This window comes from Homo sapiens, chromosome X (assembly GCF_000001405.40).
Source record: "Homo sapiens chromosome X, GRCh38.p14 Primary Assembly".
NCBI classification, from domain to species: domain Eukaryota; kingdom Metazoa; phylum Chordata; class Mammalia; order Primates; family Hominidae; genus Homo; species Homo sapiens.
The window spans coordinates 106,829,329-106,841,573 of record NC_000023.11 but is presented as its reverse complement, the minus strand read 5'-3'; the positions used below and the strand labels follow the sequence as shown (position 1 = coordinate 106,841,573).

At 36.4% G+C, this 12,245-nt stretch overlaps 1 protein-coding gene across 6 annotated transcripts in view; it reads right to left on the bottom strand.

The window, feature by feature from the left end:
• TBC1D8B (TBC1 domain family member 8B) overlaps nt 1–12,245 on the bottom strand; it is a 73,478-nt gene that overhangs the window by 34,577 nt on the left and 26,656 nt on the right. For 4 of the 6 annotated variants that reach the window (XR_001755701.2, NM_017752.3, NM_001441215.1 and 1 more), the window contains exons 8-10: nt 2,117–2,266; nt 1,376–1,526; nt 690–904 (exon numbers count right to left, since the gene is read on the bottom strand). Coding sequence is in view for 5 of the 6 variants with exons in the window: in NM_017752.3 (NP_060222.2) it covers nt 690–904; nt 1,376–1,526; nt 2,117–2,266 (516 nt within the window). In the remaining variant the exon portion in view is untranslated. The remainder of the gene's footprint in view (nt 1–689; nt 905–1,375; nt 1,527–2,116; nt 2,267–12,245) is intronic. The other 2 variants (NM_001441214.1, XM_047442229.1) reach the window with 1 other exon arrangement.

Sequence of the window (12,245 nt, the reverse complement as noted above, 5' to 3'; positions counted from 1 at the left end):
CTCCACTGCCTATAAAATAAAATTCAAACTCCAGCTCTATCCCAATCTACCTTATTGATTTTTTTTCTCCAACTACTTCACTTCATCCACCCTATGTTTCTACCAAACTAAACAAACATGGTCCTATACATACTTTACGTTTACCTCTACCTATGTTCGGTTACATGGATTCCATCACCTGGCATGTTCTTTTCATTCCATTTCCATATGTCCAAAATTCACCAATTTTTAAGACTTGCAAATGCTACCTTTTCCACGAAGCCTTCTCTGACTCCTCCAGATGAAAAATAGTTTCTCCTTGTTATAAATCATGACAGGAATTTATATTTCTCTAACAGTTTTTCTCACTTGATTTTTGTTTCTTAATGAATATGCTTTAATGTCTCCTGGTCTACATACTTTTAAGGGAGGACCCTTATCTGATACATCTTTATATAGCCTTAAGTACCTAGCAGAGTATCTTTTATAGAGCAGAAGTTCAATAAACATTTGTTAAGTGAAAAAGAAAAATAATGAAATATCAATTCTCCTAAGTATTCCCACTACCATCCTACTTACATTAATACTATGCTCTATCTATCTCACCCCCATCTCTTTCCTTATAATCGCCACTTCCAAATTAGTGGAATTGGATTTGATGTGATTTTATTTGGAACATACACACAGTTGGGCTCATAGTTAAGTCATACCTGGCAGTATCCAATTTTGGGATTCCTGTATGCATAAGCTGTGAGTACCCTTCTCAGAGCAGATATGCCAGTATCACTCTGAAAGGCTGGGTGCTCAGGCAGAGAGCGACGTAAATCACGTTCAATTTCTTCAGTAGCCAAGTTGCAGGTCCCTAAGGACTGCTCAACCACTTCAGTATAATAGTCAGGATTAGTAGCCATGTCATTAACAGCACCTGTGAAGATTATTACATTAACATACAACAGAAGGTGGATATAATGAAGCTATTTCCATATATACATAAATAATTGGATTTCATTACCTTGATATTTAGCCTTATGCTTAAGTGATTTCTGAGCACAAACAGAAAAGAGCTTTACACTAGAATCTATGTCAAGCTACTAATTTATCCAACAGAATACCAATTTCATGAGCTTTTTTCCCCCTTAACTGACTGTTGACACTAAAGATTCCCCCAGTATACATATCTTGCCTAATAAACTAATGTGCTCAGATGCTGGATGTGTGGATAGATAGGTAAGGTATAGATAACTACTTACCTTTCTTTCTTTGACTAGTCCGAACTCAAGATGAGTAAGACTTTGTATTAACCATCTTTGTAATTCTTTTGCTTTAGCTTAGGGCATAACTCCTAGAAAGGCATAGTTAATGTCTATTAAATAAATACAATGAATAAACGTAATACCTGAAAAAAGCATCCAGAGTTCTCCTCTTAATGTTTCTGGAATCCCTCTTACAACAAGATCTCGAGTCTTTTTGGTTCGAAACATACTAACACCACGTCCACATTCTGCAAACAGTATTTTCCATGACTGTTCCTTCATTTTTTCTTTCAACTGTAATGACAGAAAAATCAAAACAACTAAATTTAGTGAGAAATTAACTTCTGCAAAATAACTTTCCCACTCTCTTTACCTTGAAACAACATCTATAGAAATTAAGAACATAGAAAACCAAAATCAGTATTCACCCAGGGGTGAAACACTGAATCCTTGTCATCATGAAAATCTTTTAAACTCATGTGAGCATAGCAGCTTAATTTACTATTTTAATTCTTAGCTAAACTCATATAAAAATGGTAAAAGTGTTATACTTGGGAGGCAAAGCTTTAAACCATCATTCTCCCCAAATCACATCTATGTAAGGATTAGAAATCCATGCAAATAAAACCCAATGTCAATAAATATGTACGACTATTATGTATCTGTAAAAATCCCCAATGTCCAACTTTTATCTTTTATCTTCATTCCTGATAATAGTCCTTGTGTACAGTGGAACTAAATAAGTTACACAGTAGTACCTGCTGGAAAACTTTTCAAGTCCCAAAAGAAGAGTTTTCAGTTGTGATACCTTCTAGTCTGCTTTTAAGATTTTTACTTTTCACCAAATGTTTCAGCCCATAGGTTTAAATATTTTGTTTTCCTACCATTTTAGAATTAAGAGTCTCCAAATTCTGAGGGTGAAATACTGTCATTAAGGCTTCAGTGTTCACAGTTTTACTGCATTCCCTCTGACTTGTCAAAGATTGCACCTCAAAATTATCAGATGGCTCTGTAGACTCAGAACTAATAGCAAGCTGAAAAAGAAAGAATGTAGTTGTCCCAGATGCATGCTTACGTTTCTACAAGAAAAAAAAGTTCTAATGTTTACTGTTATTTATAAGCCACAATCTGTATACATAACAAATATTAAAGCAATATCTCAGAGACATACCTATCAAAATTAGATATGTCAACAACCTGACTTCTAGAATGGCAAGCTCAGAACCCCTGTGAACACACTCCCCAACAAAAGCAACAAAATAGTGGCAAAACATTCAAAATAAACCATTTCAGAACACTGGAATTAACCAAAGGCATGCAATAAACTGAAAAGCACCTATTCGAGAAAAACTAATGAGCCTGCCTGAGTAAGACCAGAAGAGTCTGTGGGTCTTTTAACTCTATCCACCTGCCCAAGCTCAGAAATGAAAGCCAGCAGTATGGCAACCAGTGGATCTTTTGGAGTTTCATTAAAAGCCCTATCCCTAGGGCATAGACAATATTTGACCAAACTTGCAACTCCCTGGAAAATCTCTATTCCCAGGGTGTTGTTATCATTTGATTTTATTCACAGCTCAGCTTGGTGAAAAAACTCTGTTCCCAGGGTATTATAGAAAACAATAGCAATTGGTTGGTAACAACCCAGCTGTCCAAGGCTATGATTTCAGCTAGAGCAAACAAGAGCCTGGCTAAAGATTTAAAAGGAAGACCTGAAAAACCAGATGATGATGTGGAACTTTGAAGGGCTGCAACATATTCTTGGGGATCTAGAAGAATGAATACATGTACAGGGCTGTGAACATGCCTAGGAAAGAAATGGGACAGAAGAAAGCCCCAGTCACTCAACTCTGGCTATCTTTGAAAGCAGGGAATAAAAGCTAAAGCTGATGTGAAAATTGCCTGAAGTTTGACATATACCTTCACACAGATATCCTTGAGAAAAAGGTAGAATATTTGGTAGCATAAGGCATTTAAGGAAATCTAACCCATCACTGAATAACCACTAAATTATACTGATTCAGGGGGTGATCCAAGGAAGTCAGGCTTAAAAATAGAAACAAGAACTTAAAAAAGCAACCAATAGAAAGTGTCTTGAGGGGGCCCACTTGTTGGATTTTGTAAATAAAGACTATAAAGTAGCTATTATAAATATATTCAAAGAATTAAAACTATGTTTAAAAAAATAAAGGACCCATTAAAAAGTGGGCAAAAGATCTAAATAGATACCTCACCAAGGAAGATATAAATGGCAAATAATCATATGAAAGAGGTTCAACATCAGATGTCACTGGGTAATTGCAAATTAAAACAACATTACACACCTATTAAAACCCAAAACATTGAAAATACCAATTGCTTATGAGGATGTGTTGATACAGGCATGCAATGTTAAATAAGCACAAATATATAAATTATACCCCTATGTTTCTTGCAGCACTACTCAAAATAGCCAAGATATGAAATCAACCTAAATGTCCACCAACAGATGGATGGATACAGAGAATGTGATAAATTTTTACAATGGAATACTATTCAGCCCAAAAAAGAATGAAACATTTTCATTTGCAGCGACATGGATGAACATGGAGAACATTATGTTAAGTGAAATAAGTCAGGCACAGAAAGATAAATACCATATGTTCTCACTCATATGAAGGAGGTAAAAAGTTGAGCTCATAAAAGTATAGAGTGGAATGATGGTTATTAGAGGACAGAAAGTATGGGGTGGGAGGGTTGTACCATTTTACATTCCCAACAGCAATACATGAGAGTTTCAATTCTTCACATTCTCCTCAACAGTATTATATTTCTTTTTAATTATAGCCACCCTAGTGGGTATGAAATGGTATCTCATTATGCTTTTGATTTGCATTTCTCTATTGACTAATGATATGAAAAATCTTTTAATGTGCTTATTGGCCATTTCTTTATTTTCTTTGGAGAAAAGTCTATTCAAATCCTTTAACCATTTTTAAAATTGGGTTGTTTGCCTTTTATTATTTAGTTGTAAGAGTTCTTCATACATTCTAGACAGCAGTCCCTTACCAGACATATAATTGGCAAATATTTCCTCCATTCTGTGGGTTGTCTTTTCACTTTCTTGATGATATCATTTGTAGCACAAAAGTTTTTAATTTTGATGTAATCCAATTTACCTATTTTTTCTTTAAGGTCACATGCTTTTGTTGTCATATCTATAAACAATTGCCTAATTCAAGATCATGAAGATTAACTCCTATGTGTTCTCTGAGAGTTTCATAGTTTCAGCTCTTACATTTTGGTCTTTGATCCATTTTAATTTAATTTTTGTGTATGTTTTAAGAAAAGAGTACAACATCTTTTTGGGGGTGGGGAGTATGTTGCTGTCCATTGTTTCAGCACCATTTGTTGAAAATAGTTCTTTCCCCCATTGAGTTAGCTTGGCCTTCTTGTTGAAAATTAACTGACCATAAATGTAAGAATGTATTTCTAGAGTCTCAACTATATTACATTGATCTACATGTCTCCCCTTATGCCAGTATCACAATGTCTTGTTTACTATAGCTGTATAATAAGTTTTGAAATTGGAAAGCATGAGTCTTCCAACTTTGTTTTTCCTTGTCAATACTGTTTTAGTTACTCTGAGTCTTTTGTATTTCCACATAAAACTTTATGAACACCAAAGTTTTACTCTTAAAACATATCAGTTACCCAGCTTCTATGGATTATAACTACACCAGCTATTGCAAGTTATTACTAGGAGTGCTAAAAAAAAAAAAGAAGAAAAGACTCACTTAAGTTCATCCCTTAAACTTTAGTAAACCTTAGTAGCTTAAGTAAGATAAAGAATGCCCATGACTGAGGCAGAGGAAAAGTAGCAGCTTAGGGTGGACCAATCCAGTGGTACTTTAGTTTGAAATCCAAGAAGCCAGTACAAGCCCTAGCAGGGCTGGACATTAAGATTGGCTCTGAGTCCCCACCCAAATCTCATCTTGAATTGTAATAATCCCCATGTGTCAAGCATGGGACCAGATGGAGATAACTGAATCATGGGGACGGTTTACCTCATGCTGTTCTCATGATAGTGAGTGAGTTCTCAAGAGATCTGATGGTTTTATAAGGGGCTTCCCCCTTCACTCAGTACTCATTCTCTCTCCTTCCACCCTGTGAAGAGGTGCCTTCTGCCATGATAGTAAGTTTCCTGAGGCCTTCCCAGCCATGTGGAATTGTGAGTCAATTAAACCTCTTTGCTTTATTACCCAGTCTTGGGTATTTCTTCATACCAGTGTAAGAAAGGACTAATATAGTAAATTGGTACCAGGTAGTGGGGCGCTGCTGTAAAGATACCCAGAAATGTGGAAGCAACTTTGGAACTGGGTAACAGGCAGAGGTTGGAACAGTTTGGAGGTCTCAGAAGAAGACAGAAAGATGTGGGAAAGTCTGGAACTTCCTATAGACTTGTTGAATGGCTTTGACCAAAATGCTGATAGTAATATGGACAATGGACTTCTATAGACTTGTTGAATGGCTTTGACCAAAATGCTGATAGTAATATGGATAATGAAGTCCAGGTTGAGGTGGTCTCAGATGGAGATGAGGAACTTCTTGGGAAATGGAGCTTTAGTGAAAAGACTGGTGGCATTTTGCTCCTGCCCTAGAGATCTGTGGAACTTTGAACTTGAGAGAGATGATTTAGGATATCTGATGGAAGAAATTTCTAAACAGCAAAGTGTTCAAGAGGAAGCAGAGCAAAAAGTTTGGAAAATCTGTAGACTGATGATGTGACGGAAAAGAAAAACTCATTTTCTGGGGAGAAATTCAAGCCAGCCACAGAGATTTGTGTAAGCAACAGGAGCCGAATGTTAATCACCAAATTTGGATGTCTCCAGGGCATGTCAGAGATCTTCACGTCAGCCCCTCCCATCACAGGCCTGGAAGCCTAGGAGGGAAAAATGGTTTCGTGAACCTGGCCCAGGGCCCCCCTGCTCTATGCAGCCTCAGGACATGGTCCCCTGCATCCCAGCTGCTTCAGCTCCAGCTGTGGCTAAAAGAGGCCAAGGTTCAGTTCGGGCCATTGCTTCAGAGGGTGCAAGCCCCAAGCCTTAGTGGCTTACACATGGTGTTGGGCTACAGATGCACAGAAGTCACAGGTGCACAGAAGTCAAGAACTGAGGTTTGGAAACCTCTGCCTAGATTTCAGAGGATGTATGGAAATGCCTGGATGTCCAGGCAGAAGTTTGCTGCAGGGGTGGAGTCCTCATGGGGGAACCTCTGCTAGAGCAGTATGGAAGGAAAATGTGGGGTCGGAGCCCCCACATAGAGTCCCCATTGGAGCATTGCCTAGTGGAGCTATGAGAAGAGGGCCACCATCCTTCAGACCCCAGAATGGTAGATCCACTGACAGCTTGCACCTTGCACTTGGAAAAGCTGCAGGCATTCAATGCTAGCCTGTGAAAGCAGCCAGGAGGGGGGCTGTACCCTGCAAAGCTACAGGGGTGGAACTGCCCAAGGCTGTGGCAGCCCACCTCTCACATCAGTGTGACCTAGATATGAGACATGGAGTCAAAGGAGACCATTTCAGGGCTTTATGATTTGGCTGCCCCGCTGGATTTCAGACTTGTATGGGGCCTGTAGCCCCTTTGTTTTGGCCAATTTCTCCCATTTGGAATAGTGTATTTATCCAATGCCTGTACCCCCATTGTCTCTAGGAAGTAACTAACTTGCTTTTGATTTTACAGGCTTATAGGTGGATGGGACTTGCTTTATCTCAGATGAGCCTTTGGACCCAGACTTTGGGTTAATATGGGAATGAATTAAGACTTTAGGGGGCTGTTGGTAGGGCATGAGTGTGTTTTGAAATATGAGGACATGACATGAGATTTGGGAGGGGCCAGGGGTGGAATGATATGGTTTGGCTCTGTGTCACCACCCAAATCTCACCTTGAATTGTAATAATCCCCACGTGTCAAGGGCAGGACTAGGTGGAGATAATTGAATCATGGGCAGTTTCTCCCATGCTGTTCTCATGATAGTGAGTGAGTTCTCATGAGATCTGATGGTTTTATAAGGGGCTTCCCCCTTCGCTCAGCACTCATTTTCTCTCCTGCCACCCTGTGAAGAGGTGCCTTCCACCATGATTGTAAGTTTCCTGAGGCCTCCCCAGCCACGCAGAACTGTGAGTCAATTAAACCTCTTTTCTTTATAAATTACCCAGTCTTGGGTATTTCATCATAGCAGCGTGAGAACAGATGAGTATAGATAGGATTCAAGGAAAGTTAAGGAGTATTCAAATCAATGTGTAAATGAAAGGGTAAGGTAGAAGAAGCCAATAAAGGAAAAATTAATGATTAGAGAGTATAGGTCTCAAATTGCAACAATTCCCTTCTTTTTTTTTTTAAATGCTTATTTTGACAAATCACATACTTGACAACTTAATATTAAGTTTAGCTGTTTGAACGAGGAGTTACATTTTTGCAAATACAGGTTGGAAAATTCATGGTTGTAGTCTGGATCTCAAGCACAGCACATTCCTTTAATTTAAATGACTGAATCATCAGTTTATCTATTGTTCTAAACTACAGGAAAAGTATCCCAGAGGGAAAAAAATAACCTCTTAAGCAATGAAACCCTAAACATAAATTTATAAGAGTGATGACAAGTATGTCAGTTCTATCCATTATTGCCTCTTAAGTATTCATAAAGTCACGTTAAAACCTTCACCTTCATCAACAGGCAGTAGGTGGTTAGAAAATTTAAAAAAATGACAAAAGAAATAAAATAAAAAACATTTACCTTCAAAGATGGTAGTTTAATGTTTGAAATTTTGAAGAGTGTAATAAAGTAGATTATTCAAGGAACTAAACTTAAAGTTTTTGAACATTTTTGCTCTGGCTCTTTTGAATGGAAACTTTTACCCATGGTGTTTTATATATATACTTGGATAAATATCTATATTTCTCTCCATTTATTTGGGTGTTCACACTTACGACAAATAAACTTGGCACTCATCAGACTTTTAGTGCCTGAGCAAAATCCAATCACATCTAGAAAGCAACATAGATTGTTAACTCTATAGCAGGTATTCTTAATCTGTTTCATTTTTATTATCTGACATTGATTTTACAATTATCATATGGCTCTAAAAGTGAAGGAAAGACAAAGCAAAGATTAACATTTCTTTATGTGTAAATTTCTACAAAATACTATATTTAAATTAGAATACTTCATAAACTCGGTATAATAAATGGTGGTTTGGGGGCCAGAGTTGACCTGTAAAACCAATAATTAAAACAAAAAAATATAAACAAATGCTTTTCTCAAATATCAGAAGCTTATCTTAAATAGGATCCTGTTCATAGTCCACAATTTAAAGGGTGTGAATTTCATTTTTAATAGTTTCTGGTTTCCCAACTTAGAAATAAATCTACCCCCACAGCTAAAAATCATTTTCCAAATTTATATTATGGTCATAGGAAGCACCTTATTCTTATCAAGGCAAGAAAAAATCAGTTATGTTGGTTAAACTACAATTTTGATCTACATTATCATGTAGGAAACCCATTACTTCTATTTAAAAACTTAGTAAGATAGTCCTGGTTATGAAACTATCTTATTAAGATAATAACTATATTACATACAGTTAGTAACTATCTTACTAACTATATGAAACAAGTTATGTTTACATATTCTGTGATAATATGTAGAAGATACTTATTTGCCCATCTAAAAACTTTAAGGCATAAACTCAATTACTACCTTTCTTGACATTCCATAGTTTCTACAATTCATTCATAATGTAGTTTAAAAGCATCAGGCAAGGGATCTTCAGTAGTGCTTTCCATTCTTAGGCCACTTTGCTTAAAACTAACCTAAGAGGGCCCATTTTTCTTTCATTGAGTAGTTTTGAAAAATTACCTTATCTAGTAATAGTTCTTGATTATATGTGTCAATGAAAGTAAAAGATTCATGTATTTTTCCAAGCAGTTTATTAGAATTTTACTAAATCTCTTTATATGCCCAGATTTTAGTATAACTTATTAAAATGTGGAACATTTAAATATATACCCATATAAAAACTTGGATAGAACTGGTACTCATGCATAATTTCAATTACTTCTGGTAGGACTTGTTCTTTGTATAATGTCTTTGACATTCTCACAGGAAAGATTTCCTAAAGTACTTCCTGTATTCATATTTAGACTTGTTGATTTAGACTCTTGGAGATTTAAAATAAAAAGTCTTGCTGTTTGTACAAAAGTCACCAGGTTTATTAAAATTATAGAATGCAATTTTTCTCTTCGTTTTAGTAAAAGTGTAGTTATAAAAGAATATAGCTATAATTTCTGTTACTTAGAAATCAAATGGAACTAGCTCTTGTTTAAAAAGCTTTCTCTTTACTAAGTTTTTACGTGTACTATTATTAAAACTAGATATATACAGATACTAAAATGGGTCAATATTCTTCATCATTGATAAGATAAAAATCTTAAGTGAAAACAGAATATTATGGCAATTTAAAAATACATATTTCCAAGCAGATAGTATACTAGCTGGTATTTTGTACATATATTTATTAAAACCTCTAAAAACGAGTGAGAAACTAGAAAACTGTAGAATTCTGATGCATATTTGGAAAGATGGTAAACTCATTTTGAAACAAAATCCTTTCTTGACAACTGAGCATATTCAGCTACTAAAAGCACATGAAAGTTTTAAGGGGAACAGTTACAGCTCTTCAGGTTTTGGAAAAGCAAATTAAAGGAAAAAGAAAGATATGTTGAGCTTTGAAGCTAACACGTGGACTGAATGTGAAATAGAACAGAACAAGGAAAACATGATATAAGTAAGAATTTGGGAGCATTGGGAGAGAAAACTACTAAGGCTGGTCAGATTTTACTTGTATTCCCACATCAAACTAAGGAATATCCTGGGTACATACTAAAAGAGAATGAGAGATAATAAAGTTGGGGCAAGGAAAACCCTTGATGGCCAATGTAGAAATTCTGCGTCTGGAATTGAGATGGAAAAAAAAATTTAATTACATGTTTTCATTGTGCTTTTTAATTATCAAAGGGAAAATTAGTTTTATCAATACTGCATTATAATTGACTTAGCATATTATTTTCAATCTCTACTCTGGAGATAGCAGTAAAAGGCTCTATACTCCAATTCAAATAAAATAATATAGCCAATAAAGACACATTTAGTTTTTCTTTGAATTTTAATTAAAATACAAATAGCTATAATTTGATAAGTTGTATCAATCTATTAAAACTTGGGGTTCCTGGACATTGTAAAAGAAAATTCATTTGAATTTGACCTGTCTGCATTTCCATGAGAGACATATTAAACATCAAAATCCTCCTTGTCCTCTCTAATATTTTATTTATTTATTTATTTATTTATTTATTTATTATTATTATACTTTAAGTTTTAGGGTACATGTGCACAATGTGCAGGTTAGTTACATATGTATACATGTGCCATGCTGGTGCGCTGCACCCACTAACACGTCCTCTAGCATTAGGTATATCTCCCAATGCTATCCCTCCCCCCTCCCCCCACCCCACCACAGTCGCCAGAGTGTGATGTTCCCCTTCCTGTGTCCATGTGTTCTCATAGTTCAATTCCCACCTATGAGTGAGAATATGCGGTGTTTGGTTTTTTGTCCTTGCGATAGTTTACTGAGAATGATGGTTTCCAATTTCATCCATGTCCCTACAAAGGACATGAACTCATCATTTTTTAAGGCTGCATAGTATTCCATGGTGTATATGTGCCATATTTTCTTAGTCCAGTCTATCATTGTTGGACATTTGGCTTGGTTCCAAGTCTTGGCTATTGTGAATAATGCCGCAGTAAACATATGTGTGCATGTGTCTTTATAGCAGCATGATTTATAGTCCTTTGGGTATATACCCAGTAATGGGATGGCTGGGTCAAATGGTATGACTAGTTCTAGATCCCTGAGGAATCGCCACACTGACTTCCACAATGGTTGAACTAGTTTACAGTCCCACCAACAGTGTAAAAGTGTTCCTATTTCTCCACATCCCCTCCAGCACCTGCTGTTTCCTGACTTTTTAATGATCGCCATTCTAACTGGTGTGAGATGGTATCTCATTGTGGTTTTGATTTGCATTTCTCTGATGGCCAGTGATGGTGAGCATTTTTTCATGTGTTCTTTGGCTGCATAAATGTCTTCTTTTGAGAAGTGTCTGTTCATATCCCTCGCCCACTTTTTGATGGGGTTGTTTGTTTTTTTCTTATAAATTTGTTTGAGTTCATTGTAGATTCTGGATATTAGCCCTTTGTCAGATAAGTAGGTTGAGAAAAATTTCTCCCATTTTGTAGGTTGCCTGTTCACTCTGATGGTTGTTTCTTTTGCTGTGCAGAAGCTCTTTAGTTTAATTAGATCCCATTTGTCAATTTTGGCTTTTGTTGCCATTGCTTTTGGTGTTTTAGACATGAAGTCCTTGCCCATGCCTATGTACTGAATGGTAACGCCTAGGTTTTCTTCTAGGGTTTTTATGGTTTTAGGTCTAATGTTTAAGTCTTTAATCCATCTTGAATTGATTTTTGTATAAGGTGTAAGGAAGGGATCCAGTTTCAGCTTTCTACATATGGCTAGCCAGTTTTCCCAGCACCATTTATTAAATAGGGAATCCTTTCCCCATTGCTTGTTTTTGTCAGGTTTGTCAAAGATCAGATAGTTGTAGGTATGCGGCATTATTTCTGAGGGCTCTGTTCTGTTCCATTGATCTATATCTCTGTTTTGGTACCAGTACCATGCTGTTTTGGTTACTGTAGCCTTGTAGTATAGTTTGAAGTCAGGTAGTGTGATGCCTCCAGCTTTGTTCTTTTGGCTCAGGATTGACTTGGCGATGCAGGCTCTTTTTTGGTTCCATATGAACTTTAAAGTAGTTTTTTCCAATTCTGTGAAGAAAGTCATTGGTAGCTTGATGGGGATGGCATTGAATCTGTAAATTACCTTGGGCAGTATGGCCATTTTCACGATATTGATTCTTCCTACCC